At 44.9% G+C, this 27,768-nt stretch overlaps 1 protein-coding gene and 1 long non-coding RNA gene across 4 annotated transcripts in view; one reads left to right on the top strand and one right to left on the bottom strand.

Moving 5' to 3' along the window:
• PLAAT3 (phospholipase A and acyltransferase 3) overlaps positions 1 to 26,585 on the top strand; it is a 42,466-nt gene extending 15,881 nt beyond the window's left edge. For all 3 annotated transcript variants that reach the window (XM_011544741.2, NM_007069.3, NM_001128203.2), the window contains 3 exon segments: positions 2,884 to 2,986; positions 10,679 to 10,947; positions 26,001 to 26,585. In XM_011544741.2, the coding sequence (XP_011543043.1) occupies positions 2,884 to 2,986; positions 10,679 to 10,947; positions 26,001 to 26,102 (474 nt within the window). In that variant the 3' untranslated portion in view covers positions 26,103 to 26,585.
• On the bottom strand, positions 10,957 to 25,829 carry LOC105369335 (uncharacterized). Its single transcript, XR_950179.3, has 3 exons — positions 25,757 to 25,829; positions 14,420 to 14,479; positions 10,957 to 11,018 (listed from the first exon to the last, which is right to left on the bottom strand). It is a non-coding gene; the product is annotated as an uncharacterized LOC105369335 (long non-coding RNA).
• Positions 26,586 to 27,768: the final 1,183 nt, after the last annotated feature.

Here is a 27,768-nt window from a genome sequence, read left to right as displayed (position 1 = left end):
TTGTTTAATTTTTATTTATTTTTAAAATTTAGTTTCTTAAAAAAAATTAAGTTATAACTTACCCTTTCAGTGTTTACTTCTGTGAGTCTTAATAAACACATGTAATTGCAGAATGGTTGCCACATTCAGGATGTAGAAGAGTAGGCCGGGCGTGGTGGCTCACGCCTGTAATCCCAGAACTTTGGGAGGCTGAGACGGGTGGATCACCTGAGGTTGGGAGTTCAAGACCAGCCTGGCCAACATGGTGAAACCCCATCTCTACTAAAAATACAAAAAATTAGCCAGGCGTGGTGGCATACGCCTGTAGTCCCAGCTGCTTGGGAGGCTGAGGCAGGAGAATCGCTTGAACCCGGGAGGTGGAGGTTGCAGTGAGCCGAGATCGCACCACTGCACTCCAGCCTGGGAGACAGAGCGAGAGTCTGTCTCAAACAAAACAAAACAAAACAAAACAAAACAAAAAAAACAAAAAAACCATGAAGATGTAGAAGAGTATAGAAATTTTACCCCTGAAATTCCCTCACGCCTCTTGCTAGTCAGTCCCTCTCCTCAACCCCTGTGACAATCACAGATCACTTTTCCGTGCTGTAGTTATGCCTGCTCTGGAATGACATATAGATGGAATCATACAGTATGTGGCTTTTTGGGTATGACTTTTTCACTCTTCCTTTTTAGATAACGGAATACTTTTTCTGTCTGAACCATTATAATATTTTAAATTATTTTTTGTCATCGTAATAACTTCTGTTTTAAAAAATGCAGCATGGGGCTGGGCGCGATGGCACGTGCCTGTAATCCCAGCACTTTGGGAGGCCGAAGTGGGAGGTTCCCTTGAGCCCAGGAGTTTGACACCAGCTGGGCAACAAGGCAAAACCCTGTGTTTACTAAAAATATGTAAAAATTAGCCAGGCATGGTGGTGTGCACCTGTGCTCCCAACTATTTGGGAGGCTGAGGTGGGAAGATGACCTGAGCCTGGGGAGGTTGAGGCTGCAGTGAGCCACGATCATGCCACTACACTCCAGCCTGGGCAACAGAGTGAGATCCTGTCTTAAAAAGAAAAAATAAAGGCAGCATGTTCTATGTGAGGGCTCCTCTCATTGGTGTTTATGTGGAGCAGGTGAGCTCTTTGGCTCTGCACACTGCCAGCTGCTTATTACTCAACATGGTCTTACTGATGTCCACACCATCTCTTTCCAACCTGCAGCCTCCCTCAGGGATGGGTACCCACCCAGTCTTTATGTCCTTGTCTGTTTGAGGAGATCCCTGTTTAAATTCCTTTTTGGGGATTCTTGAATCCCCAAACTCTGACCAAACAATTAATACTCTTTTTTTTTTCCTGGAAAACAATGGGATTCATAAATTGTGACCATTGTCCATTGTTCTGAAATAGGTTCTCAGTAAGAACTGAGTGCCCTCTATTTTGGAAAAGAAATTATATTTACTGCAACAAAAGAACATGATTTATCTGTAAAATTCCCTGCCACACATGCTACCTGTTTGTAGTTTTAATGTTTCTGTGAAATAATAAGCAAACTGGCCTTTGACCCGCCTTCATAGGCGTTGTAGAGTTGTGATTGGCTGTTAACCACTGCCCATCATTTGCGCCCAGGGGAGGTCAGCCGAGGATGAGTCCTCCCCATGCCTCATCCTTGATGGAATGTCTCTGGTAGGGCCACCAAGCTTGCTGGCGAGATGTGGGAAAACCCCTATGGATCTGACTCAAGGTGCAAGCAAGCCGGAGTCCTCACCCCATATCTTCACTGTGCTGAGGGCAGTTTAGCCCTGACTGTGGCTGAAGACTCCAGCAAAGGATGAAGGGGCCAGAACCAGCCTCTGATGGGCTCTGTCTCTAGGTGTTCTGAAAGGTTGATTTCTTTGCTCATTAAAGGGGTTTAAAGGTTGGCCTGGAGAAGTTCTTTACCCCTGATTCTAGTGAGAGTCGGAACTTCCCCTCCCCCAGCACTCAGTGCAGGGTCTGATTCTGGGATGTGGTTAATGCTGAATGGACGTGGATAATGTTGAATGGATGGGATCTTGAACCTCTCTGAAGTTTTCTCAAACTCTGCCCCATGCTCCCCTAACAGGGTGAGAGCATTTACTGCACCCTCCCTACCTTCCCCTTCTCACATACGCACACTCACTCTCACACGTAGTCTCACACTCATGCATCCACCCTCACACACATACTCACTCAATGTGAACATGCACACCTTAGCATCAGGCTGAGCAGCCGGGGGACATTACTGCTGGAGACTGATGCCAGTTCTCCATTAGGCCCAGGCCAGGTGTTGGGGAGTGTCTGTGGAATGCCCTCCAGATCTGGCAGCCTCTGGCATGGACCCCAGGTGGGCAGCTCTAGTCACATAACTGGTGGTGTTTCCTGATGGTCAGACTGGGCTGGGAATCAGCCAACTGGGCGTTCAGTCCTGGCCAAGTCACTCATGAGTTATATGTCTTTGCACAAATTCTTTTACATTTCTAGGCCTTGATTTCCTCATCCATAAAATGGGGTTCATCATTGGATGGTTGTGTGGATTTATTGAGCCATCTTGTAAAACATGGAGAGTGGAGTGCTTGGCTCAGAGTAAGAGTTCAATAAATAATATTCCTAGAAATAATAAGGCAGAGACTCCAGCTCATGAAGAAACCTTTTAGGTTTGCACTTGGCAATTTGTATTGACAGAAGGGCAGGCCCATGGTGCCTGCAGGTCTGGGTCACAAGCTTGTGAAGTTGGACTGGCATTGGACCTGGCAGAGCAGGGCTCAGGACATATGTTCTGCTGAGCTGATAGCTGGGGACCACTCAGCTGCACCTTCCTCACTGAGCCCTGTCCTGGTTCCACGATCTCATGCTCCCTCTAACAGCCCTGTTCTTGGTTTTGCAGCCAGAGCCTAAGCCTGGAGACCTGATTGAGATTTTTCGCCCTTTCTACAGACACTGGGCCATCTATGTTGGCGATGGATATGTGGTTCATCTGGCCCCTCCAAGTAAGAACACATGGGACCTCCACTGTGATGGGCCCCAGGGGCTGGGAAGAGAGGGGATGGGGAACTGTGGGTAACAGGTGACCCCAACATTCTTCTTGCTTCCCAACTGGCAGTTGTCTCTGAATGTTACAAGAAGTTTGATATGGGGCAGTTTGGTGTGGGGCACTGGTTTTCAAGGTCTGCTCCTGGGAACCTCAGGGGGTTCTTTAGAGCAGGGGTCCCCAACCTCCAGGCCATGGACTGGTACTGGGTAGGAACTGGGCTCCAGAGCAGGAGGTGAGTGGTGGGCAAGTGAGCGAAACTTCATCTGTATTTGCAGCTGCTCCCCATCGCTTGTATTACCGCCTGAGCTCCACCTCCTGTCAGATCAGCAGCGGCATTAGATTCTCATAGGAGCATGAACCCTACTGTGAACTGCACACGCAAGGGATCTAGGTTGCACACTCCTTGTATTAGTCTGTTTTCACACTGCTATAAAGAACTACCCGAGACTGGGTAATTTATAAAGAAAAGAGTTTTGTTTTTTGTTTTTTTTGAGACAGAGTCTTGCTCTGTCACTCAGGCTGGAGTGCAGTGGCGCAATCTCGGCTTACTGCAAGCTCCGCCTCCTGGGTTTACGCCATTCTCCTGCCTCAGCCTCCTGAGTAGCTGGGACTACTCAGGTGCCTGCCACCACACCTGGCTAATTTTTTGTATTTTTAGTAGAGACGGGGTTTCACCGTGTTAGCCAGGATGGTCTCGATCTCCTGACCTCGTGATCCACCTGCCTCAGCCTCCCAAAATGCTGGGATTGCAGGCGTGAGCCACCGCGCCCGGCCCTTCAGAAAGAGGTTTAATTGACTCACAGTTCTGCATGGCTGGGGACGCCTCAGGAAACTTACCATCATGGCAGAAGGTGAAGGGGAAGCAAGGCAGGTCTTATATGGTGGCAGGAGGCGGGGGAGTGCCACACTTTTTTTTTTTTTAGATGGAGTTTCGCTTTTCTTGCCCAGGGTAGAGTGCCATGGCACAATCTCGGCTCACTGGAAACTCCACCTCCCAGGTTCAAGTGATTCTCCTATTTCAGCCTCCCGAGTAGCTGGGATTACAGGCACCTGCCACCACGCCCGACTAATTTTTCTATTTTTAGTAGAGATGGATTTTCATCATATTGGTCAGGCTGGTCTTGAACTCTGGACCTCGGGAGATCCACCTGCCTCAGCCTCCCAAAGTGCTGGGATTACAGACATGAGCCACCATGTCCGGAGTGCCACACTTCTAAACCATCAGATCTTGTGAGAACTCACTCATTATCATGAGAACAGCATGAGGGAAATCTCGCTCATGATTCAGTCACCTCCCATATAGTCCCTCCCCTGACACATGGGGATTACAGTTTGACATGAGATTTGGGTGGGGATACAGAGCCAAACCATATCACTCCTTATGAGAATCTAATGCCTGATGATCTGTCACTGTCACCCGTCACCCCAGAAGGGACCATCTAGTTGCAGGAAAACAAGCTCAGGGCTCCTACTGATTCTGCATTATCGTCAGTTGTATGATTATTTCATTATATATTACAATGTAATAATAATAGAAATAAAGTACACAATAAATGTCATGTGCTTGAATCATCCCGAAACCATCCCTCCCCACTGCCGAGTCCATGGAAAAATTGTCTTCCACAAAACCAGTCCCTGGTGCTAAAAAGGTTGGGGACCGCTGCTGTAGAGGGACCAAGGTGGCATCTGAGGACGAAGCTCTGTTTTGATGTGTTTTTTATGCCGTGACTTTGTATGCAACACACTCAACTCTTTTTTTTTTTTTTTTTTTTTTTTTTTGACAGAGTCTCGCTCTGTCGCCCAGGCTGGAGTGTAGTGGCGCGATCTCGGCTCACTGCAAGCTCTGCCTCCGGGTTCACGCCGTTCTCCTGCCTCAGGCTCCTGAGTAGCTGGGACTACAGGCACCTGGCACCACCCCTGGCTAATTTTTTGTATTTTTAGTAGAGACGGGGTTTCACTGTGTTAGCCAGGATGGTCTCGATCTCCTGACCTCGTGATCCGCCTTCCTTGGCCTCCCACAGTGCTGGGATTACAGGCGTGAGCCACTGTGCCCGGCCGCAACACACTCAACTCTTAAGCGTAAAGCTCCTGGGAAGAGTGCAGGTGTTTGGGCAGAGAGACTTGGTTATGAATCCAGTTTCCATTCTTCAGCCTTGATTTCCTTTTTTGCAAACTGAGGATATGAATACTTAACTTGGAGAACTCTTGTGAGAATTCCTCACCCTTCTCTTAAGCCTTTAACTTAAACTGGGGTATAACATAAGTATTGTAAAATGTACAAGCATAGTAAAGTATACAGTCAGTGAATTAAAAAAAACCATCCATGTAACAGTGCCCCAGATCCACATCTAGAACATTCCCACTGTGCCACTTACCCTGAAAGGCTCTCTCATGCTTCTACAATATGCCTCCCCACGCCTCGCCCAGGCAACCATCATTCTAGCTTTTCCTGCCATAGATGAGTTTTGCCTGTTCTAGAACTTCATGGAAGAGGTATCACACGGCCCGTGCTCTTTTGTGTCTGGCTTCTTTTAGCCAACATCATGCCCATGTGAGTCATCCATGCTGCTGTGAGTAGCAGGAATTCTTTTTCACTGCTGTGTATTTTCTGTTATATGAATATGCTACAATTTAGCATCCATTTTTCTGACATCAGACTCATTGCAGGTTTTGACTGCTATGAATAGAGCTGTTATAGACACTCTTTTTTTTTTTTTTTTTTTTCCGAGACGGAGTCTTGCTCTGTGGCCCAGGCTGGAGTGCAGGGGCATGATCTTGGCTCACTGCAACCTCCACCTCCTGCTTTTAAGCGAGTCTCCTGCCTCAGCCTCTGGAGTAGCTGGGATTACAGGCACGCACCACCATGCCCAGCTAATTTTTGTATTTTTAGTAGAGATGGGATTTCACCATGTTGGCCAGGCTGGTCTCAAACCCCTGACCTCAAGTGATCTGCCTGCCTCGGCCTCCCAAAGTGCTGAGATTACAGGCGTGAGCCACCGCGCACGGCCCTTGAACATGTCTTTTGCATATCGTTTTAATTCTAACTAGTGGCCTCACCCTATCAGTAGTAACCAGAGTAGATGTCATCTTCCCCACCCTGAGCCCCTTACCCATGTACCCCCACCCCCTCCTCTTCCTTTCATAAGCACTTTGCTCCTCAAATTCCCCACCTCCTTCTGTATTGTCATCTTCTCCCTTTCAACTGGATCATTCGTATTGACATAGAGACAGCTGTAATATATCCCGTTGATCAAACGCCCGGCCTCACATCCTTCTCTGCTTAACGCCCTACAGAGCAGATCTCATTACAGCTTTGTCTGCCTGGCCACCTCCGGTTCCTCGCTTCCCATTCTGCCTTCCATCCCCTATACCCACACTTTCTTTTTTCTTTTTCTTTTTTTCTTTTTTTTGAGATGGAGTTTTGCTCTCAGACTCTCTTTTTTTGCCCCCCTGACAGAGCAGTTCTCAAGGGTAGGGAAAAGCTTCCACATCTTGCCAAAGCTTAAAGCCAAGTCCCATCACAGCTGACTTGGCTTCTCTGCAGCATTTGATGTGAGTGACCTTCCTGCTCTCCACCTGGCACCTGACTTTCTTCCTCTCCCTCTGGGCCCTTCTTTTTTGGTCTCTTGTGTGGGCTCCTCCTCCTCTCTCATTTCCCTAAATCGAGCTCAGATGACCTCATTGGATTCCTTAGCTTCCAATACCTTCTATTTGTCAATATCTCCTAAGCCCAAACCCTCAATTTACATCCCCCTTCAGCTTCAGACTTGCATAACCTCTTGACTACTTGGTAACTCCACTTGGGTGTCTACCTGGCATCTTGAACTTGATCTGCCCCAAATGGGAGGCTCCAGTGGAAGACACCATTCAGCTGCTCAGGCCTAAAGCCTAGGAGTCATTCTCCGTTCCTTCCAACCCATGTCTAATCTATCAGGGAATCCTGTTGGCTTTATCTCTGAAACAGACCCCAGCTCTGACCACTTCTTACCATCCCCACTGCAGCGCCCTGGTATGAGCAACCACCCTCCCTCGCCTGGTGGCAGTGTCACTTCTGGCTGGTCTCTCTGCCTCTTGCCACTCACGGCCAGTTCCTCATTCATGGGCAGGTGGTGTGATTGTTTGAAAGCGTAAATCAAGGGCCAGGTGCGGTGGCTCATGCCTGTAATCCCAGTATTTTGGGAGGCTGAGGTGGGTGAATCACCTGAGATCAGGAGTTTGAGACCAGCCTGGCCAACATGGCGAAACCCCGTCTCTATTAAAAATACAAAAATTAGTCGGGCATGGTGACGCGCCACTGTAGTCCTATCTACTTGGAGGCTGAGGCACGAGCAGGAGGCGGAGGCTGAGGCACGAGCAGGAGGCGGAGGCTGCAGTGAACCAAGATTGCACCACTGCACTCCAGCCTGGGTGACAGAGTGAAACCCCGTCTCAAAAAAACAAACCAAAACCAAACCAAAACAAAGCATCAAAGTCTACACTGTGGCCTGTAGGGCCCGGCCTGGTCTGGCCTGGTCTGTGACTTTGGGCCTCGTCTTTCTCTTCTCCCCTCCTGGGTCTCTAGACTCCAGCAACGTTGGCCTCCTTGCTGCCTCTTGGCATGCCAAGCTCTCTCCTCCCTGCAGACTTCATTCCTGCTGTTCCTTCTGTTCTAGATGCTTCATCATTCAAGCTTCAGCAAAGATGCCTTTTCCTTGGGGTGGCCTCCCCAGCCTGAGCAACAGCAGCCTCTGCTGGTCATCCTTGCCATGTCACTCCACTCTGTCTTTCCATAGTGTCTGTTGGTACCTGCAAGTATCTTATTTTGTGTATTTGTTCATTGTCAGCGTCTTCTCAGTAGCATGGGAATTGCTTGAGGGCAGGCCTGCTGTCCAGATCACGTCACTGACTTCAGCACCTTGGACAAGGCCCGGCACCCAGTAGGGCCTCAGTATTGATTGGCTGCACTGAGCAGGTGTGTGTGGTAGATAGAGGGTTGGGGAAGGCATGACAAGCACCCGGGTGGACAGGTGGACAGGTGTGTCACAGACCATCAGGTCAGTGATACTCCTTCAAAGGAAAAGATGCTTCTACCTGCATCTCACTTGAGTTTCACAGGAGTCATGTGGGATAGATGAGGCAAGGAGGACTGACCTTCTGCTGCTGAGAAAACTGTAGAAATTAGAGCTGGAAGGAAGCTTATAAACTTGCTGAAGTGCCTGTCCTGTGCCAGACACTGGTGAAAGCATGTTTTCTGGCCAACCCCTTTAATCCTCACAGCTGCCTGTGCAGTAGGGACTATTTTTGTTTCTATCCTACAAGGAATGGGGGACTCAGAGAAGTTAAGAAACTTACCCAAGGTTGCATAATGGTAAGGGGTGCAGGCAGGACCCAAACCCAGGCAGTCTGACTTGATTCTGTGCACTTAACCACAATGCTGCACTGCCCAGTCCAAGCTATCCCAAAATTCAGTCGCTGATGGATTGCCACATCCACATGCTCTTTCTGTGATTGTTCACTTCATATTTTCTTCAGTAGACTCACTTTTTAAAAGAAGGAACTTTAGGCCAGGTGTGGTGGCTCACACCTGTAATCCCAGAACTTTGGGAGGCCGAGGTGGGTGGATTGCTTGAGCTCGGACCAGGCTTGAGTTCGAGACCAGCCTGGCCAACATGGTGAAACCCCATCTCTACTGAAAATATAAAAATTAGCTGGGCATGGTGGTGCACACCTGTAGTCCCAGCTACTCAGGAGGTTGAGGCATGAGAATCGCTTGAACTGAGGAGGAGGAGGTTGCAGCGAGCCAAGATCACACCACTGCATTTCAGCCTGGGCAATGGAGTGAGACTCTGTCTCAAAATAAGAAAAAAAAAAGAAGGAACTTTAAATTACTGTGTTGATATGTATTTGTGCATCAATTTTAGTGTGTATTTGGGGATTTCTGGAGCAAAGTGAAGTGACAGGTCCAGACCACTCAGCTGGTTGGTGATGTGCTGGGGTCGAACCCAGAGCTTCTCACCGCCAGCTTGAGCACAGGGTACCCCTGTCCTGGGTGGCATCTAGATATAAGTTTAAGGAAGTCCTCACTCTTGGTTGTTGACTCTGCACTTGCATGGCCCTGAGATTTGGTGCCTCCTTAAACTTTGGGCTCTAGGCAACTTGCTTGCCTCTTCCGAGTCCCTGCGCTGTCACCCACTTTGCCTGGGAGCTGAGGCTGGGTGGGCCCCAGGAGCTCATCCTCCCGACAAACGCAGGGCTCCAATAAGGCACCCTCTCTTTTATTTACTTCAATGAATCTTCCAAGCTTCACGTGCCCTTTTCCTATCAAGTCTGAATTCCCTAAATTTCTAATATCTTGGCATTGCATGTAGGCATTGCATGCAGGCTGAAAAGGTTTATTGGTCTTTGGAAAGCGGAGAAGAGCAGGACCTGAAATCTAATCGGCCTCTCCTGCTGTTGCTGTCACACGGATGTCATTGTTGAAGACTGGTCCTACCCAGTTTAACAGGGTGCTGCTGTGGCACCCTGGGGGCCTTGACCCTGACAGGGTCACAGTGGCTGTTTGAGGAGAGTGAGAGTGAACCTCCTTTGACATGCTCCCTGGGTGCGTAGGCCCATCCCTTGAGTGCATACCTACTTTTTCTTTTTCTTTTTTTCCTAAGGCAAGATCTCACTCTGTTGTCCAGGTCGGAGTGCAGCGGCGCAATCTCAGCTGACTGCAACCTAAACCTCCAGGGCTCAAGTGATCCTCCTGCCTCAGCCTCCTGAGTAGCTGGGATCACAGGTGCACACCACCATACACGGCTAGTTTTTGTATTTTTTGTAGAGACGGAGTTTTGCCATGTTGCCCAGGCTTGTCTGAAACTCCTGGGCTTAAGCGATCTGCCTGCCTTGGCCTCCCAAAGTGCTGGGATTACAGGTATGAGCCACTGTGCCCAGCCCATCCCCACTTTTTCAATCATCATACTCAGTGCCTGCCTCTCCCTGCGCCACACAGGTTGTTTGAGTTGGGAGGAATGCCCAGTCTGTGTTGGCATCAGCTTTCCCTGTCCACCATCCTGGTCTTCATGTTGAACCTGGACTCCTTGTCTTCAAGATCATTTCATTTCTGGAGCTTTGTGGCCCTTCCTTGCCCTGGGCCTTGGCCTGGGCTGTGCCCATGTACCCACTAAGCCTCCTTAGCATCCATCACAGCTAGGGGGACAGCTGTGCGTTTTGGTGGGTCTGTTTCCAGAAGGGCTGGGACTCTGGAAAACCCAGCCATGTTTTCTGCAGTAAGCAGCTTTGTGTGGTCAAGTAGGTGTAGCCCTGATGCCATCATAAAAGTCTCCCACCTTATCTTCCCAGGTGGATGAGTATGCTCTTGGCTCATATTTGCATAACCAAGGGGGCCACTTAAGTGTCATGAGGTATAGAAGACCACCTTCTCTAGAGTAAGAAAAAAATCACAGTAAATCATGGAACTTCACTCCCTTTCATTTTAGATAAGGAAACCAGGGCCCAGAGACCACACACACCTTCCCCAAGGCCCACAGCCATGCGTCTGACCCTTCCACTTGTTGCTTATCCTTTGTGGATGAGCCAAGGGCAGATGCCCGGCTGGGGGCCAGCTCTGAGCCTCCGTGGCCCTTCCCAGGACCAATCCCTCTGTTTCCTCTTTGTGGATCTGCAGGTGAGGTCGCAGGAGCTGGTGCAGCCAGTGTCATGTCCGCCCTGACTGACAAGGCCATCGTGAAGAAGGAATTGCTGTATGATGTGGCCGGGAGTGACAAGTACCAGGTCAACAACAAACATGATGACAAGTACTCGCCGCTGCCCTGCAGCAAAATCATCCAGCGGGCGGAGGAGCTGGTGGGGCAGGAGGTGCTCTACAAGCTGACCAGTGAGAACTGCGAGCACTTTGTGAATGAGCTGCGCTATGGAGTCGCCCGCAGTGACCAGGTGCGTCCTCTGCCTGTGTCGCCTTCCCCAGGAACCAGACCATTCCCTCTGCTGACGGAGGCTGGGCATGGCTATGGAGGCATGAACAAGACAAAATAGCAGAGACAGAATTACTGCCCTTGAGGATGTCACAGTTGGGACAAGGGTGGGGACAAGGGTGGGGAGAGAGGCAAGTTGGCAATGCAGATCAGTGTAGTCGGGGGCGGGGGTGGGTGGCCAAGGAAAGGAGTCACAGACATGATGATCATTCCCATTGCCAAGCCCTCCCTGGCCACCTGTCCCTGAGATGGCCCTCCCCAGCCCTAAAGGCAGGTTTTAGGACCCACTACCTTACAGATTGGGAAACTGAGCTTAAGTAACTTGTCTACAGCCATTCATTTCATCAAAAAAATCTTTGTTGAGTCTCCAGACCTGGTACCTGTCTTTTCCTGTGCAGATAATTAGCAGAGTTGGGATTTGAAGCCCAGGTCTGTGTGGCATAGCCTGATCGTGCTTATAAACAGCACTGTCTTCAGCCTGGCTGAACCCTAAGGGTGAATCTGGGAGACCCTAGGGGATGCAGTTTTGTTCATTTACTTGATTTTATTTTTGTCTTTCCTCTCCTTTCAATCTCTTTTTCTCTTCTCATTTCCTTGCACTTCTTCCCCCTCCCTTTCAGCCACTTCCATCTTTTTTTTTTTTTTTTTCTTTGCATAGGTGAAAAGAACATTGGGAAGGTTCTTACATGGCTGTTGATGCAAAAGAATACATATTTTTTTCAGTGAATGATTAGCTTAAGATCCATCAGGCTGTTCACTTTTATTATTATTTTTTTTGAGATCCAATTTCTTCTTCCCTGGTCAGTGTGGTGGTTAAGAGCCTGGGCTCCTGGAGTCAGGCCAACGTGGGCTGGACCTGGTCTCTGCCTTTTGCCGGCTGTCTGACCTCAGGAGAGTTAGTCCAGCTCCCTACACTTTGGTAAAGTACGAATGATAATACTCATCTTGGAGGATTACCTTGTGAATTAAATAAGAGCATGTTTATTCTTAGCACACTGAATACATTGTAGTAGTAAAAATAGTCATGATTATCCTCATTTTTTTTTTTTAAATTATCCTCCTCTTTTTTTTTTTTTTTTTTTTTGCTTGGCTCATCCATTGCCTGGTCCCCTGGCCTCTGTGGGCCACAGCCACTTGAATGGGAAGACACTGACTAACACCACCTATAGGAATCACTCTTACTCTCTTCATACTGCTGATAACCAGCTGTGCTTACTACACCAACCCTCATGTTTGTTAGGCGGTTCCTATACCTGTCTACAGTGGGATATTAGTTACCTTTGAATGGGTATCCTCTTATTTTTTTCTTCGATCAGTTGGGTTATTCATGTTCAACAACTATTTATATATGAATGTTAAAGGTGATCAACTTAGAAATTGAGTAGGTGGTACATAGCTAACTAGGTAAAGAAAGGGCAATATTGCCAATGTTTGTGAAGATTGCAGTCTGTTGGTCATGGTCTGGCTTCAACTTCCCTGAGAGTTGATAAGAGCTTTCTTCTGGGGAATCAGTGGGCAGGGCCATGAGAAGAACTTCATTAGTGCCTGAATATTGTCAGGTTAAAAAGGTGATGCAGTGAAAGAAAGCAGGAGACCAGGGGATGGTGGCACTTACTACATCTATCTCTTGGGGATAACAGCCTTCAAAACATTTGTGTCTTGTTTTTCTTTTCTTAAAACAATTTTATTTTAGGCCGGGCACAGTGGCTCGCACCTGTAATCCCAGCACTTTGGGAGACTAAGGCGGGCAGACCACTTGCGGTCAGGAGTTTGAGACCAGCCTGGCCAACATGGTGAAACCCCATCTCTACTAAAAATACAAAAATTAGCCGGGCATGGTGCTGGGCATCTGTAATCTCAGCTACTCAGGAGGCTGAGGCAAGAGAATCACTTGAATCCGGGAGGCAGAGGTTGCAGTGAGCCGAGATCACACCACTGCACTCCAGCCTAGGTGACAGAGCAAGACCCAGTCTCAAAAAAAATTTTTTTTATTTTATTGTTTTTTATTTTAATAGAGATGAGGTCTCACTCTGTTGCCAAGGCTGGTCTTGAACTCCTGAGCTCAAATGATCCTAACGCCTCAGCCTCCCAAAGTGCTAGGATTACAGGCATAAGCCACTGTGCCCGGCCACATTTGTCTCTTGTCACACTTGATGAGGCATTGCTGTCATCTTGGTATCTCTCTTTACTAGCATCCTAGAAATTTCTTTCAGTTCCCTGCTATATTAATGCTTTTATCCTCTGTAGTTCACATCCTTCTCTTTTTTGGTTTATGCCCTTGTTTTGGTAGACTACTTCCCCTAATAGTTTACTGAGAAATGGTACATTTTAAAAAGATCCCTAGGCAGGCATGGTGACATGCGCCTGTAATCCCAGCTACTGGTGAGGCTGAGGCACGAGAATTGCTTGGACCCAGGAGGCAGAGGTTGCAGTGAGCCGAGATCACGCCACTGTACTCCAGCCTGGGTGACAGAGTGAGACTTGGTCAGAAAAAAAAAAAAAAAGACCCAAGAAACAAAAAACAAACAAAAAAAGATCTTGCATGCCTGAAAATATCTTTATTTTATCCTCACATTTGATTAATCATTTGGCTGGGTATAGAATTCTAGGTTAGAAATAATATTTTTTTTTTCAGAATTTTGAAGGCATTGGTTTATTGTCATCTAGCTTTTGTTATTGTGGTAGAGAAGTCTGAAGCTGTTCTGATTTTTTATTGTTTGTATGTGATCTATTTTTTCTTTTCAGAACTGTATAGAATCTTCTCTTCATCCTCAGTGTTCTGAAATTTATTACCTTGCACGGGTCTATTTTCATGTATTGTGCCAGGTACTTGGAAACTCACTTTCTTTAGTTCTTGGAAATTTTCCAGTTTGTATTCTCTGGCACTCCTATTATTAGGCTATTGGATCCCTAGACTGCTTTGCTGATTTTCTTATCTTCTCTCTCTTGTTTTTTATTTATGTATCTTTTTATTTATTAAGACAGAGTCTTGTTTCGTCACCCAGGCTAGAGCACAGTGGTGCGATGTTGGCTCGCTGTAACCTCTGCCTCCTGGGTTCAAGTGATTCTTCTGCCTCAGCCTCCAGAGTGGCTGGGAATAAAGGCATGTGCCACCACACCTGGGTAATTTTTGTATTTTTATTAGAGATGTGGTTTCCCCATATCGGCCAGGCTGGTCTGGAACTCCTGACTGCAAGTGATCTGCCTGTTTCTGCCTCCCAAAGTGCTAAGATTACAGGCGTGAGCCACTGTGCCTGGCCCATTTATGTATCTTTTTAAATTTGAAAATGAACATTTATTGACAGATTTAGGTATAATAGAAGTTTTTTTTTTTTGAATTAGCAGTGACAATATTAGCATAAGAAAGACAAACATGATAACAAATTGAGTTTCATCATTGGTGATCTTGCATCACTATCAAGGTGTTTACTTACTCTTGGTAAAACTCATGCTCCTATGCAGCAATAAACTCCAAATACAGAGTACAAGACAACCTTGGGAAGCAATAAGATACTTTTTGAAATTCAGAGTTCTACGTTAAGAATATTTGGTAGGTTTACAAAATATATCCTAATCATCTCATTTAGTTATTCTTTCAGCAGTTATTAACAGAATAAAGAACGGGGCTGGCCGGGCGTGGTGGCTCACGCCTGTAATCCCAGCACTTTGGGAGGCTGGGGTGGGTGGATCACCTAAGGTGAGGAGTTTGAGACCACCCTGGCCAACATGGTGAAACCCCGTCTCTACTAAAAATACAAAAATTAGCTGGGTGTGATGGCGGGCACCTGCAGTCCCAACTACTCAGGAGGCTGAGGCAGGAGAATCGCTTGAACCCTGGAGGTGGAGGTTGCAGTGAGCCAAGATTGCGCCAGTGTACTCCAGCCTGGGCAACAGAGCGAGACTCCTTCTCAAACACACACATACACGTGCACACACACACACACACACACCCAAGTAGCTGAGACTATGGGTGCACATCACCATGCCTGGCTGATTTTTGTATTTTTTGTAGAGACAGGGTCTCACTTTGTTGTCTGGGCTGGTCTTAAACTCTTGGTCTCTAGCAACCCTCCTGCCTCAGTCTCCCAAAGTGCTGGAATTATAGATGTGAGCCACTGCGCCTGGCCATAAATGCTATTTGGAGTAATTAAATAAAATTCCAAATCTTGAGATAGTAAAATAACTAAGAAATGTCTTATACCATTATTCTTTTTGTAAACAATAATTTAACACTTGCAAAATGAAACAATGCAAATTGAACACATCACACTTTTCTTCCTGGGACTTTGGCCCTACCCATCTACCCATTCACTTGAAAGAGGCAAAACAATGATAACACAACAGTGAAACAGCATGAACAATTCTACTTGATCCCATCACAGAAAATGAAGCCAGAATATTCTACAACAAAAACAGAGGTGCCATCTCTACTGCTTCTAAAGATTTCCTCTTTCATTTCTTGGTCTAGGATAGGGGTTTCTCAGCCTCAGCACTATTGACATTATGGGCCAGATAATTCTTCATTGTCAAGTCCTGTCCTGTGCACTGTAGGATGCTTAGCAGCATCCCTGGCCTCTACACACTAGATACCAGTAGCATCCCACCGCCAGATGTAAGAACCAAAAACGTCTGTAGACAATTCCCCCCACAGGGAAAAACTGTCTCCAGTTGAGAACTAGTGACTTAGGTGAGTAATGATCACTGACACATGCTGTGAGTCAAATTAACATAGAACTTCTGGCCGGGCGCAGTGGCTCATGCCTGTAATCCCAGCACTTTGAGAGGCCGAGGCGGGCAGATCATGAGGTCAAGAGATCGAGACCATACTGGCCAACATGGTGAAACCCCGTTTCTACTAAAAATACAAAAATTAGCTGGGCGTGGTGGTGTGCACCGGTAGTCCCGGCTACTCGGGAGGCTGAGGCAGAATTGCTTGAACCCGGGAGGTGGAGGTTGCAGTGAGCCAAGATTGCGCCATTGCACTCCAGGCTGGGCAACAAGAGCAAAACTCCATCTCAAAAAAAAAAAAAAAGAACTTCGATGCATGCCCCATCTTGCTAGAGATGATAGATTTAGTACATATCAGAAAATGTCCACCAGTATTTTTCTTTGTAAGCACTGTCAGTGCAGTGACTCTCCTTTTCATTTAACTCATGAGGATATTTTTGTGTGTTTTAAAGAATCTGACCAGTCATTATATTTGTGCTGAGCTCTTTGAAGCAGACTAGATTTTCCTTCAAAAGAATATTTATGGCCAGGTGCGGTGGCTCACGCCTGTAATCCCAGCACTTTGGGAGGCCAAGGCAGGTGGATCACGAGGTCAGGAGATCAAGACCATCCTGGCTAACCTGGTGAAACCCCGTCTCTACTATAAATACAAAACAAAATTAGCTGGGCGTGGTGGCCTGTAGTCGCAGCTACTTGGGAGGCTGAGGCAGGAGAATGGCGTGAACCCAGGAGGCGGAGCTTGCAGTGAGCCGAGATTGCACCACTGTACTCCAGCCTGGGCGACTGAGCAAGACTCTGTCTCAAAAAAAAAAAAACAAAAAAAAACAAAAAAAAAAGTTTATGATTAATCAAATTTCCTGAGAAGGGAAACAATGAATTTAAACTAAAACGTAATTTGTGCTTTACATGCCTAAGAATATTCTAAAAAAAAGATTCTCCTACTTTCCACCTACCTAAAAATATTTAGGTTTCAAAAAACATATATTTTAGTAGGGTTTTGTAAAGAAACTTTCATACTGAACAGTACTTAAAAAAAAAAAAAAAGCAACCAGAAGCTATACTCACAATGAAGTCTAGTCTGAGTGAGAGAAAATATTAAGGTAAATAGAAATTGAAGATGTGTCTGGCGGCAATACATATATTACATAAATCTGGATAAATTGTGGGGTATTATTTTGAAATTACTGTAAATGAAACCAAATTTTTATGCAAATATTTTATTTCTTTTTAAATGATTTATTATTTTTTGTATACTTGATCACTGTTGGAAAATATACAACTATTTCATAACCATTCTTATATTGTAACCTCTAACAGTCTCAATTGGATTGCTTTCAGAATAACACTACTATCTCCACTTCTTCTTTAATCCACCTATAACATTGTTGAAAGTGAAGGCAGCACATTAGCACTTTCTTTTTTCCAGAAATGATTTAGATTTCCCTAAATCAAGGCTTAACTCAGAAGAGCTTTGTAGTATAAATGTCTAAATGTCTGTAGTCTGGCAGAATTTGTTTGCCCACTTAAAAAAAAAACAGTCTTCTTAATATTTCTAATGAGAGACAGCTTTTCTCTTTCACAATATCCTGATATCCTGATTTAAGACCTGTGACACACACCAGGTAGCCCATTTTCATGATCAGAAATCCTGTAATAACAACACAGCAGCTGGATTGGACCTTTCAGTCTTGCAACATGAAAATGATCAATGGCATCTGAAGGTAGCACTGACTCTTGGAGAGAGAGTTTTTCCCATCAAGTTTGCACTATTAGGACTAACTAGCTTCCAACAGTCTTGTGTTTAATCATACTCTTTGACTATGTACAAAGCATGGCCACAAACAATGAGGTTATTGTTGTTTTCCTTGACAAAGTATCTTTTGTATGAACCAGTTGCATCAGCTTTTGTTTTCACACCATGAGGTTCTATAAAGAACTAGGGACATATTGTTCCTCCTCCATTATCTGCAGACTATTTCTCCTACCCTGACACAGAGCTTAGCAAGGAAAATGCTGGATACAAGTGATTTTATGCAGGTTCCCTAGCAAGTTAACCCAACAGAACCATGGCTGCCACAAAACCATGCCTAATTATCTTTTAGAGGAGCATTTAAAGACTTAGCAGCAGTCAAACCTCAGGTTGGTAGCTCCATCCAAACTTTGGTCATCATGAATTCTGTCTGTTAAAACTACTTTTTTTTTTTGAGATGGTGTCTCACTCTGTCACCCAGGCTGGAGTGCAGAGGTGTGATCTCGGCTCACTGCAACCTCCGCCTCCCGGTTCAAGTGATTCTCCTGCCTCAGCCTTCTGAGTAGCTGGGATTACAGGTGCGTGCCACCATGCCTGGCTAATTTTTGTATGTTTAGTAGAGATGAGGTTTCACCATGTTGGTCAGGCTGGTCTCGAACTCCTGACCTCATCATCCGCCTGCCTCGGCCTCCCAAAGTGCTGGGATTATAAGCATGAGCTACTGTGCCTGGCTATCTGTTAAAACTTCTATGTGACCAATGTTGAGAAGAGTTTGGGGATCTTCAGTGGTTAAAAATATATACGTATCTTGATGCTACTGAGGCTTATCTGGGCCATAAATGTGTTTAATGTCAGGAAACACATAGTTGTGTTTAACCTCAGGAAACACAGCAGTGTAATTAACACAAGGTGCCCAGAACTGATTTCTCAGCAGCCAGAACTCATGATGAGAAAACTCACAGCTGAGTGTCGTGGTGAATTGTGATAGTTTCCTTTCTGTTTTGGGAGGGAAGTGGAGGGAGTTCTTTTTTCTTTATGATAATTATTACTTCCTTTCATTGCCGAGTTTTCTTTGTACCTGTTGTCAATTCTTCCCACATGATCCAATTAGCTCTCAGTACAGTTCTCCACAAGGGAAACCATGTCAAGTAACCTACAAGTTCTTGTTTATTTTGCTTGGACACGTCTATCCCAGAGATGGCCCTTCTTCCCTCTGTGCTGGTTGCTCCTTGGCCAATTGCATGGCTGTCATCCTGGACTCCCCTTGGCTGTCATCCTTTGGATTTCCTTTCCTTCTCTTGGATTGCATTCTCTGATTCTATGATCTCTTAGTTTTCTGTTTCTTTGCTCTTTCTCTTATTTAGGTAGATCACATCCTCCAGAAGTTGCTTTAGGTTAGAAACACAGTACAATGGGAGAGGATAGTGGTTATGGCAGTCCTCAACATGCTAGGCTCTGGAGTCACAATGCTCCAATCTGGATTGATAAGTGCATTATTTTCCTATTGCTGCTGTAACAAATTAGTACAAAGTTAGTGGCTTAAGACTCCACAATTTATTATCAACAGTTCTGTGGGCCAGAAGTCTAAAATGAGTTTCACTGGGCTAAAATCAAAGCATTGACATTCTTTTCTAGTGTCTGTAGGAGAAAATCAATTTTCTTGCCTTTTCCAACTTCTAGAGGTTACTGGTATTGGGGGAACCAGTCCCTAATATTTCAACATAGGTTCTTTTCTATTTTCCGTAAGTGTTGGCCAGGCTGAGAAATAAAGAGAAAGAGTACAAAGAGAGAAATTTTACAGCTGGGCCTCCAGGGGTGCCATCACATATTGGTAGGACCGTGATGACAACCCCCAGCCACAAAATCAGCAAGTTTTTATTACGGATTTTAAAAGGGGAGAGGGCGTACAAACAGGGAGTAGGTCACAAGGATCACATGCTTCAAAGGGCTATAAAGATCACAAGGTGAAAGCAAAATTAGAATTACTGATGAGGGTCTGTGTCCTGCTGTGCACGCATTGTCTTGATAAACATCTTAACAGGAAACAGGGTTTGAGAGCAGACAACCAGTCTGACTAGAATTTACCAGGCTGGAATTTCCCAATCCTAGTAAGCCTGAGGGTACTGCAGGAGACAGGGCATATTTCAGTCCTTATCTCAACTGCATCAGACAGACACTCCCAGAGCGGCCGTCTATAGACCTACCCCCAGGAATGCATTCCTTCCCCAGGGTTGTTCCTTGCTCGGAAAAGAATTCAGCGATATTTCTCCTACTCACACATCTGTCTATAGGCTTTCTGCAAGAAGAAAAATATGGCTCTATTCTGCCCGACCCCGCAGGCAGTCAGACCTTATGGTTATCTTTCCTTGTTCCCTGAAAATCGCTGTTATTCTGTTCTTTTTCAGGGTGCACTGATTTCGTATTGTTCAAACACACATATTTTACAATCAGTTTGTACAATAGTGGTCCTGAGGTGACGTACATTCTCAGCTTACGAAGATAACGTGATTAAGAGATTAAAGACAGGCATAAGAAATTATAAGAGTATTAATTGGGGAAGTGATAAATGTCCATGACATCTTCACAATTTGTGTTCAGAGATTGCAGTAAAGACAGGTGTAAGAAGTTATGAAAGTATTAATTTTGGGAACTGATAAATGTCCATGAAATCTTAACAATTTATGTTCTTCTGCTGTGGCTTCAGCTGGTCCTCCGTTTGGGGTCCCCGACTTTCCACAACATACTGGCATTCCTTGGCTTATAGTCCCCATCTATTTTCAAAGCTAGAGCAATGGCTGGTTGAGTCTTATATTGCATCATTGTGACACTAACTCTTCTGTCTGTCTTCTACCTTTTAAGGAACTTTGTAATTACATTGGGCCCATCTGAATAATCTAGGATAATTTCCTCTTTTTTTTGTTTTTGTTTTTTTGAGACAGTCTTGCTCTGTTGCCCAGGCTGGAGTGCAGTGGCGTGATCTCAGCTCACTGCAAACTTTGCCTCCTGGGTTCAAGTGATTCTCCTGCCTCAGCCTCCCAAGTAGCTGGGATTAGAGGCATGTGCCACCACGCCTGGCTAATTTTTGTATTTTTAGTAGAGATGGGGTTTCACCATGTTGGCCAGGCTGGTCTCGAACTCCTGACCTCGTGATCCACCCTCCTCGGCCTCCCAAAGTGCTGGGATTACAGGCGTGAGCCACCACACCTGGCCGATAATTTCTGTATTTTAAGGTAAATTGATTAGCAGCCTTAACTCCATTTGTAAGCTTAATTCTCACTTGCCATGTAGCATGATATATTTATAGATTCCTGAAATTAGGACATGGACACCTTTTGGGGCTTATCATTCTGCCTACCAGTTATTCTTTACACCTGGTACTAAGTTGTTATCCTGGAATCTCCCTTTACTGTCATTCTGGGGAGATTCCCTTCCAGTCTCTCTAGTAGTAGAAGGCCCATTTTCTCTATCTCATGTCTTCTACTTTCTCCATTTACTCCCCTGTTTTTGGGGAACCATTTTCAGCAGCTTTCTGTAAGAGGATGCATGGGAGGTAAATTCTTTGAGACCCTGTGTGTCTGAATTATTTGTCATTTTACCCTCTCACTTGATTTGATACTTTGTCTGGGTATAGAATTCTAGGTTGGAAATGGTTTCACTTCAGAGTTTTGGAGGCATTGCTCCATTGTCTTCTTCTTTTTTTTTTTTTTTTTTATTATACTTTAAGTTTTAGGGTACATGTGTACAACGTGCAGGTTTGTTACATATGTATACATGTGCCATGTTGGTGTGCTGCACCCATTAACTCATCATTTAACATTAGGTGTATCACCTAATGCTATCCCTCCCCCCTCCCCCCACCCCACAACAGGCCCTGGTGTGTGATGTTCCCCTTCCTGTGTCCATGTGTTCTCATTGTTCAATTCCCACCTATGAGTGAGAACATGCGATGTTTGGTTTTTGTCCTTGTGATAGTTTGCTGAAAATAATGGTTTCCAGCTTCATCCATGTCCCTACAAAGGACATGAATTCATCATTTTTTATGGCTGCATAGTATTCCATGGTGTATATGTGCCACATTTTCTTAATCCAGTCTATCATTATTGGACATTTGGGTTGGTTCCAAGTCTTTGCTATTGTGAATAGTGCTGCAATAAACATACGTGTGCATGTGTCTTTATAGCAGCATGTTTTATAATCCTTTGGGTATATACCCAGTAATGGGATGGCTGGGTCAAGTGTTATTTCTAGTTCTAGATCCCTGAGGAATCGCCACACTGACTTCCACAATGGTTGAACTGGTTTACAGTCCCACCAACAGTGTAAAAGTGTTCCTATTTCTCCATATCCTCTCCAGCACTTGTTGTTTCCTGACTTTTTAATGATCGCCATTCTAACTGGTATGAGATGGTATCTCATTGTGGTTTTGATTTGCATTTCTCTGATGGCCAGTGATGATGAGCATTTTTTCATGTGTCTTTTGGCTGCATAAATGTCTCCTTTGAGAAGTGTCTGTTCATATCCTTCGCCCACTTTTTGATGGGGTTGTTTGTTTTTTTTCTTGTAAATGTGTTTGAGTTCATTGTAGATTCTGGATATTAGCCCTTTGTCAGATGAGTAGATTGGAAAAATTTTCTCCCATTCTGTAGGTTGCCTGTTCACTCTGACGGTAGTTTCTTTTGCTGTGCAGAAGCTCTTTAGTTTAATTAGATCCCATTTGTCAATTTTGGCTTTCGTTGCCATTGCTTTTGGTGTTTTAGACATGAAGTCCTTGCCCATGCCTATGTCCTGAATGGTATTGCCTAGGTTTTCTTCTAGGGTTTTTATGGTTTTAGGTCTAACATGTAAGTCTTTAATCCATCTTGAATTAATTTTTGTATAAGGTGTAAGGAAGGGATCCAGTTTCAGCTTTCTACATATGGCTAGCCAGTTTTCCCAGCACCATTTATTAAATAGGGAATCCTTTCCCCATTTCTTGTTTTTGTCAGGTTTGTCAAAGATCAGATAGTTGTAGATATGTGGCATTATTTCTGAGGGCTCTGTTCTGTTCCATTGGTCTATATCTCTGTTTTGGTACCAGTACTGCTCCATTGTCTTCTTGCTTCCAGAATTGCTTTGAGAAATCTGAAGCCATCCTGATTCCTGATCTTTTCTCCATTTCCTGTTTTTCTCCCTGCTCTAAATGTTGTAATATCTTTACCCAATGCTATAAAATTTCATAGTAATGTGCCTTTGTGTAGGTCTACTTTTATCCATTAAGATGGGACTCAGAGCACTATTTCTTTTCTTTTTTTTTTTTCTTTTGAGACTGAGTCTTGCTCTGTTGTCCAGGCTGGAGTGCAGTGGCACCATCTCAGCTCACTGCAACCTCTGCCTTCCAGGTTCAAGGAATTCTTCAGCCTCAGTCTCCCAAGTGGCTGGGATTACAGGCGCGCACCACCATGCCTGGCTAATTTTTTGTATTTTTAGTAGAGATGGGGTTTCACCATGTTGCCAGGCTGGTCTCGAACTCCTGAGCTCAAGCAATCTGCCTGCCTTGGCCTCCCAAAGTGCTGGGATTACAGACTTGAGCCACTGCACCCAGCCGGATTGTTCTGTTTTTTATTTTATTTTTTTCCCTTTGGTTTCTATTTCTTTATTTTTTTGCTATTCTTTTTGAGAGATTTCCTTAACTTAGCTTTATCTTTCAACTTTTCTGTTGAGTTGTTTTTTCACATTTTTATTTTCTATGAACCGTTTTTATTTTCTCAATATTGCATTATTTTTTATAGTACCACGTTCTTATTTATTGGATACAATATGCTGTCTTATTCTCCAGTGATAATTTTTACACTCGATCTTAGCCAAGAGGCCGAGAAGCGATCTAATGATAGTTTTTAAAAGGACGTTTCCTTTTGGATGCAATATGCTGTCTTATTCTCCAGTGGTAATTTTTATACTTGATCTTAGCCAAAAGACTGAGAAGCTATAGTTGTTAAAAGGATGTTTTCTTTTCTAGATATAGTTTCTGTTTCTCCAGATTGCTATTTTTTTTTTGTCTCTGTCTTCAATTTTAGAGGACTTCTTCAGATGTTTGGTGTGTTGGTTGTATGCTCATGATTAAAAGTACACTTGCCTGGCTGGGTGCGGCGGCTCACGCCTGTAATCCTAGCACTTTGGGAGGCCGAGGCTGGTGGATCAAGTGGTCAGGAGTTCGAGAGCAGCCTGGCCAATATGGTGAAACCCCATCTGTACTAAAAATACAAAAATTAGCTGGGCGTGGTGGCGGGTGCCTGTAATCCCAGCTACTCGGGAGGCTGAGGCAAGAGAACCACTTGAAACTGGAAGGTGGAGATTGCAGTGAGCTAAGATTGCGCCATTGCACTCTAGCCTGGGCAACAAGAGCAAACTCCATCTCAAAGATTAAAAAAAAAAAAAAAGTGCACTTGCCAACCATCATGTTCAGTTGAATTCAAAGAAAACCAACTCACATTACTTAGTGTAAACTAAAATAGTTAACAAATTATATCCTAAAAACAATGTCTGTTTGTTAAATGTTGTTGCCCTAGGTTTTTAAATTACAACATCTAAATACAATTTCTCCTCTTAAATTTGTTAAGCTAAATATGTATTTGTTCTTTTTATTTTAGATTCCTTAAAGCATTTTAAACATTTCTTTTTTTCCAAGAGAAATTACAAATAACACTTCTGTCAAGTGGTACTTGTGTAAAGGCACCTTTCTTATTTTATCACTTTGGTTTTTCAGTTTTATACACTTAATATACTCACTGTCTTACTATCAGGAAATTATTTTGACCAAGATTTATTATTCAACTTCATAGGTTAGGAAAGAGATGCTAATTCTTTCTACCTATGTTTTCCTTGTTACTATTCTCTTACCCTCTATATATACTGGCCTCTAATGTATACTGTAAAATCATTGTATTGTTGAGATCACTTAATTATGATTTATATAAACAGTACCTCACCTCATTCTTGCTGTGTTGCCAAGGACGGAGCCCAATGGCGCAGTCTTTGCTCACTGCAAATTCCACTTCCCGGGTTCAAGTGATTTTTTTCTGCCTCAGCCTCCTGAGTACCTGGGACTATAGGCACGTGTCACCAGGCCTGGCTAATTTTTGTGATTTTTAGAGATGGGGTTTCGCATGTTGGCTGGGTTTGTCTGGAACTCCTGGCCTCAAGTGATCCACCTGCCTCGGCCTCCCAAAGTGCTGGGATTACAGGCGTAAGCCACCACACCCAGCTGAGCATCTCACCTCTTTCATACTGTGCTGAACAGTTTTCAGTCTGTCAAAAAAAAAGTGGGGGTTTGCTACTGGATGGAGCTCTGAGTGAGTGGGGGTGGGTGTAGGGGCAGTGGTTTGCTGACTCTGAGTTGCACTGCAGGATGATCTGGGTGGGCTGTTTGGGAATTCCCAGTATTGGTATCTTTTGTTGTTTGCATTTGGGCCAGATTCCCCAGAAAAGTCTTCTGGACTCTTGTGTGGAGCGTAAAGTTCTGGGAACAGAGGAGTAGGAGGTCTGGGAGTCTCACATTTAGCATGTTTACAATCTCTCAATCCCTTGTTTGTGGTATGATACCCACATTCTCACATGTGCTTCTAGGTTTCTAGGCCCCTAAGCCTTCTATTGTACCCTCTGCAAAGAATAAACGTTCAGACTTCTTTTGGGGGTCAGGGAGGAGGTTCAGGGACCAGCTAAAGCTCTCTCTCATTCTTTCCCACTTCCAGAGGTACCTGGGTTTAATATGTGATCCTTTTGGAGTATTCTTTTATATAATTAGGGTTTATCCTCATCTTTTTCCTTTGCTGCCTTAGGATTTAGTGCTTTCTGTATTCTTGTGGAATTATGCCTTAAACAAATGCCTTAGTTTACTTTTAGTTGAGTTTCAGGAGGCAGTAAAATTGGACATATATTCAATTTTTACCTGGACATTTACTTTTACTTTTGAAACACTTTTTTTCCTACTACAAACAAGTCAGATATCCTAATAATTCTAAGCATAACATCACTACTATTTATAATTGAGTCATTTATTTAAGAACATGTGAAGAGTACCTCCATCCTCCATGCCTGGCAGGACCAGGCACTGGGGATACAGTGATGAACAAGACAGCCGAGTTCCTTGCTCTTATGGAGGTCACAGGTTACTGACTACTCAATAACAATTCCTCCCTGACTCCACCTTTGCTTCTAGAGCTCCCCATTGGCCAGCCAAGATCTTGACCATCCTGGCATCAGCTCCCTGTCCTTTCCACAGCCACGCTCTGAGGATTTATATGCTTTGAATACCCACACGGTGAATCCAGTTTTCCATCTTTGGTTCCATGTAAATTTCAGGCCAGCTGGCTCCAGCCACGAATTCTTTTCCCGTCCAGCCCTCTCCTCCCCTCTTCCCTACCAATGTTTGTTGACTCCTTAGTTTGGCCAGGGAGGCCAAGGGGCATGTGAGGTATCCCGAGCTGAATGTTTCTGCTGAATGTGCAGCCTGTACTCTGGATCCTGACACAGAGTGTGACCCACCCTCTTCTTTGTTGCAGGTCAGAGATGTCATCATCGCTGCAAGCGTTGCAGGAATGGGCTTGGCAGCCATGAGCCTTATTGGAGTCATGTTCTCAAGAAACAAGCGACAAAAGCAATAACTGAAAAAGACTGTCCTGTCAGCGATGACTTTATACATCAAGGGGGTCTTGTTTTGCTAGAGAGTTTGGGGTTTGGTTTGTGGATTTCATTGTGATTTATAATAAGGCTTATTTTCACAGAATAAAATAAAGCAAAACGAGGGAGGATTTTATTGGGGGAAGTGCAGCAAGAACTGCCTGGTGTGAAGTCTGTTCAGGGAACAGCCGGGCTGTCTTCCTGGTCAGGGATTGTCTTTCACTTTCTTTTTGCGTGCTGTGTTCTTTGCATTGCAGGAGGCAGAGTCCAGCTCCAGTTATCTCAAGTAGAGGGCGTTTCTGGTCGTCAGGATACATGCGGGGCGGAAGGGAGACAGAAAGACATAATACACAAGAACAGAAAGCAGCAGACAGCCAGGACCCTTGGCCCGGAACTAGATCTAGGATGGCCTCTGAGACTCAGCAGCTGGAGTCTGTAGATGTTCAGCTGAGTTGAAAAAAAAAAAGTCCTCGGCTATAAGGAAATTTAGTATAGATGCTTGCCAATCTTACTAAAATTTCCCTTATTTTCCTTTGCTCTACACGTCTTTCCTTTGCCTTGTTGCTTCCATCTCCTTGGCACTCCTGCTTCCTCACTGCTTCTGCTTGCCATGATCCCCAAGTCTCTGACCCACCTTCCTGCCTGCTCCTCTCCTCCCACATTGGCTCAGATTCTTTCCCCGCTGTCTGTGGGTCCACACTCCCAGTGGCACCTCCAGGAGAGAATCTGATTGGCTCAGTTCGCCAGATAACTCAACTTTCCCATTGGCTACCTTTGGGTCAGGTGATCTCCACTAGACCTATCGCCTATGCCTGATGGTGGGTCACATGGTGCAAATGTTGCCTGAGAGCTTAGTGGATTAGGGATGTGGCTGGGCTCATGGTTGACGTCCCTGCTGCTGAGCCCTTACGGGTCAGGCTGGGAGAAGGTACCATGTTGTGTGACTGGTCATTTGAGGTCTTGCAGCTGTTGCTTGCTGGGCTTGGCAGGTGTTCAAAGTGACCATTTTTCTGAAGGGTTTTTTTCTGAGTATTCCTCAGATGTACTCCCCTGGGGCCGACGGTCTTTCCTTCCACAGGGCGATGCTTCCCTACTTGCTTGTGAATGTTTCCTTCATCTCCAGGTTGTCTGGGGACAATTCTGTCTTTTGGAGGCCTGGGCAGGATTTACAGAGGGCTCCATGCCAGCTCCTTCCTGCCGGGTCCACTTCTGGTGTAGGGTAAACACCTGCCCATTCATGTCCTAGTGTTGATAGAATAATCATTTTCTTTCAGTACAGTTTCCTTTTTTTTTTTTTTTGCCCCGGCTTTTTAGATGTAGCACTTAATGCCAGTTCTCGAGCTCCCCAAACTTAAGGGACACAGGTCAACAAGCAGTAGGTCTTTGGAAGCTCGCTCTCTCACATGGTATAAGGTGAGGGGGACACATGGAATGTAAACCTCCAAACTAATTATGGGGGAAAAAGGAATGAGAAAAACAAACACAAGAAGGCAAAACAAAAACACCTGGTTCAATTAAAAACAACAACAAAGCAAAACAAAAAAAACCCAAAACCAAACCACACAATAAATGAGAAAAAAATTACATAAAACAGATGACATGTATAGAAATAAAAAAATAGAATGGAGGAACTAATTCCAAATATATAAG

This window comes from Homo sapiens, chromosome 11 (assembly GCF_000001405.40).
Source record: "Homo sapiens chromosome 11, GRCh38.p14 Primary Assembly".
NCBI classification, from domain to species: domain Eukaryota; kingdom Metazoa; phylum Chordata; class Mammalia; order Primates; family Hominidae; genus Homo; species Homo sapiens.
This window is presented reverse-complemented; position numbering and strand designations above follow the sequence as displayed.